General features: G+C 48.8%; 1 pseudogene, besides 1 other annotated feature; it reads right to left on the bottom strand.

Moving 5' to 3' along the window:
- Positions 980 to 2353, bottom strand: KRT19P1 (keratin 19 pseudogene 1; annotated as a pseudogene).
- Positions 2030 to 2199: an enhancer, noted in NCBI's record as "experimental_94343 CRE fragment used in MPRA reporter constructs". NCBI's record gives its function as "activates a minimal promoter by MPRAs in K562 erythroleukemia cells, with activity observed for both the introgressed and non-introgressed 6:72294602 variant alleles {active_cell/tissue: K562}" and the evidence as "EXISTENCE:reporter gene assay evidence [ECO:0000049][PMID:34662402]".

Below are 3310 nucleotides of genomic sequence, written 5' to 3'. Positions count from 1 at the left end.
GTTCCCTCTGGATGCCTTGGATTTCCCTCTTGGAAACTAAAAAAGAGAGCAGAAGATTCCCTGGGCCTGTCTACATCTACCACTCTATCATTCTACAAGTATGCACCAGGGCAGGGGAAGTCTGTCCTAGAAGCCTCACAAGATAACTGGGAGACTAAATGGTAAACAGGAGCCAGGCCCTGAAAAAAATCAAGAGGTACCAAGTTTTGATAAAGGCCTATATTTAAGGCATGGAATAAATTCAGCCTGAGTCACAAATAAGAGTTTTGAAAAAGATAATAAGGAAGTGGCCAGGTGCAACTGTTCACGCCTGTAATCTCAGCACTTGGGGAGGCTGAGGTGGGCAGATCACCTGAGGTCAGGAGTTCAAGACCAGCCTAGCCAGCATGGTGAAACCTCATCTCTACTAAAAATACAAAAACTAGCCAGGTGTGGTGATGTGCCTGTAATCCCAGCTACTCGGGAGACTGAGGCGGGAGAATTGCCTGAACCCAGGAGGCGGAGGTTGCAGTGAGCCGAGATCATGCCACTGCACTGCCTGGAGCAAGACTCCATCTCAAAAAAAAAAAAAAAAAAAAAAAAAGAGAGCAAGAGAGAATAAGGAAACCATGCTTATTTCCTATCCACTCAACAGAAGGTTAAGTGCCTCCTTGCCTGACCAGGATCATTGAGTCGGATAAAGGCAGATGGATTCCCTGCTTTCACCTTTCTTAGCCTGGAGAAATGCAGAAACAGAAGTACAAACGGGAAGCAGATTCAACAAAGTGCAAGCAACGTGGATCTCCCTGGGTGGTAAAGTCACGGGTGATATTTATGAATTTCTGATTAGTTCGCCATGTTTTCCACATTTCTACAACGAGCATGTATTGTTTTTCATATATATATATATATACACACACACGTATATATACACACACACACACACACACACACATATATATATATATATATATATATATATATATTTTTTTTTTTTTTCCCCTTGGACCATAAAATTTTATTGGCAGATCAGGGGAAGAGCAGGGGGTAAGGGTCCCTTCCTTCCCATCCCCCTACCCAGGAGACACCCTCCAAAGGACAGTAGAAGCCCCTTAGCCTGCTGCCTCAGAGGACCTTGGAGGCGGACAGGTTGTTGTAGTGATCTTTCTGGCCCTCGAGCAGGCTGCGGTAGGTGGAGATCTCCTGCTCCAGCCGCGACTTGATGTCCATGAACTGCTGTTAATCCTGATTCTGCCGCTCACTATCAGCTCGCACATCGCCCAGCTGGGCTTCAATACAGTTGATCAGCGGCTGGATCTGCGCCAGCTGGACTCCAAAGCGCGCCTCCGTTTCTGCCAGTGTGGCTTCCAAGGCGGCTTTCATGCTCAGCCGTGACTGCAGCTCAAGACCCTGGAGGGTGCGCCGCAGGTCAGCGACCTTGGACCGGCTCATCTGGAGCTGATCTGTGTGGCCAGCGACCTCCCGGTTCAATTCTTCAGTCCGGCTGGTGAACCAGGCTTCAGCATCCTTCCAGTTCTGCTCCGCCATGACCTCGTATTGGCTTCGCATGTAACTCAGGATCTTGGCGAGATAGGTGCCCTGAGCCGAATCCACCTCCCCACTGACCTGGCCTCCCACTTGGCCCCTCAGCCCACTGATTTCCTTCTCATGGTTCTTCTTCAGGTAGGCCAGCTCTTCCTTCAGGCCTTAGATCTGCATCTCCAGGTCGGTAATGGCCAGGGTCAGCTCGTCCAGCACCCTGCGCAGGCCGTTGATGTCGGCCTCCGCGCTCATGCGCAGAGCCTGCTCCGTCTCACTCTTGGTTCGGAAGTCATCTGCAGCCAGACGGGCGTTGTCGATCTCCAGGACAATCCTGGAGTTCTCAATGGTGGCACCAAGAATCTTGTACCGCAGGTCCTGGATAGTCTTGTAGAGTGGCTGTAGTCACGGGAGGGCCCGGGCCCCTGCTTCTGGTACCAGTCGCGGATCTTCACCTCCAGTTTGCCGTTGGCTGCCTCCAGGGCGCCCACCTTGTCCAGGTAGGAGGCCAGAGGGTCGCTGAGGTTCTGCATATTGAGCTTCTCGTTGCCCGCCAGCAGCCCGTAGGACACGGCCAAGACGCCGCCGTAGCCCCCCAAGGAGGACGAGGACAGACACGAAGCGGGCGGAGGACACGGACACGCCGCAGCCTCCAGAGGCCCAGTGCATGCTGAGCGCGCGAAAGGCAACCTCTGCCACAAAACTCACGGAGCCACCACCCAGGCCCCAGAAGGACTACTTGGCCTACGACTGGCGATAGCTGTAGGAAGTCATGGCGAGGCGGAGCACGGATGGAGCGACCCTGGTCCCAGAGGCTGCGATTCGAGGGAGGAGCCATACTTTTTTTTAAAAATAGCTACTTTACATAAATATCAGATTATATGTTTATCAATGTTGTACAAGCACTTGACGAGGGAAATGACCGCTCAACAGATAAGCTGCCTAAGGCAGAGGTTAAATGGCTTATTAAGATCACAGAACTGGCCGGCAGCGGTGTCTCACGCCTGGAATACCAGCACTTTGGGAGGCCGAGGCGGGCGGATCACGAGGTCAGGAGATCGACAGCATCCTGGCCAACATGGTGAAACCCCATCTCTACTAAAAACACAAAAATTAGCTAGGCGTGGTGGCGCGCGCCTGTAGTCCCAGCTACCCAGCTAATCAGGAGGCTGAGGCAGGAGAATGGCTTGAACCCGGGAGGCAGAGGTTGCCGTGAGCCAACATCAGTTGCCACTGCACTCTAGCCTGGCGACAAAGCGAGACTCCGTCTAAAACAAAAACAAAAACAAAAAAACAATAACAAAAAAGCACAGAACTGTAGTGAAGAAGAAAGATGGCGGACGCACATAACTGCATATTACCAAAAGATTTTTTTGTTTCTTTTCTTTTTCCTTTTTGCAAGAGAACCGGGATTAAAATCTAAGCTTTCTAAGTCTCTGGATCTGTACCCTCTCCACCAGCTGACAGTCTGCTAATAACAATATGCACTCTCAAGGATCAAGATAAGCACTGCAATATATTCATTCACAAAATAATGAAATGTAAGAAACCTATATATGAAAAACATTTTCATGTCTCACTCTCTTGCTTTTACTCTGTCACTATTCCTTTTTAATTTTTTATTTATTTTTATTTATTTTATATCTCTATTAAAGGCTTACCCTTAAATTGTATTTGGAAAATAAATAAAAGGAAAAATCACATATTCTCATTATACTAAAATGACTACTGTTGATAAGCAAGTTAGGTATGGTCAGACTTAAAATATAGATTGAAGCATGCATAAAATTCA

Source organism: Homo sapiens, chromosome 6, assembly GCF_000001405.40.
Source record: "Homo sapiens chromosome 6, GRCh38.p14 Primary Assembly".
Classification (NCBI taxonomy): Eukaryota; Metazoa; Chordata; class Mammalia; order Primates; family Hominidae; genus Homo; species Homo sapiens.
The sequence above is the reverse complement of the archived record's forward strand: the minus strand, read 5'-3'. Positions and strand labels throughout refer to the sequence as shown.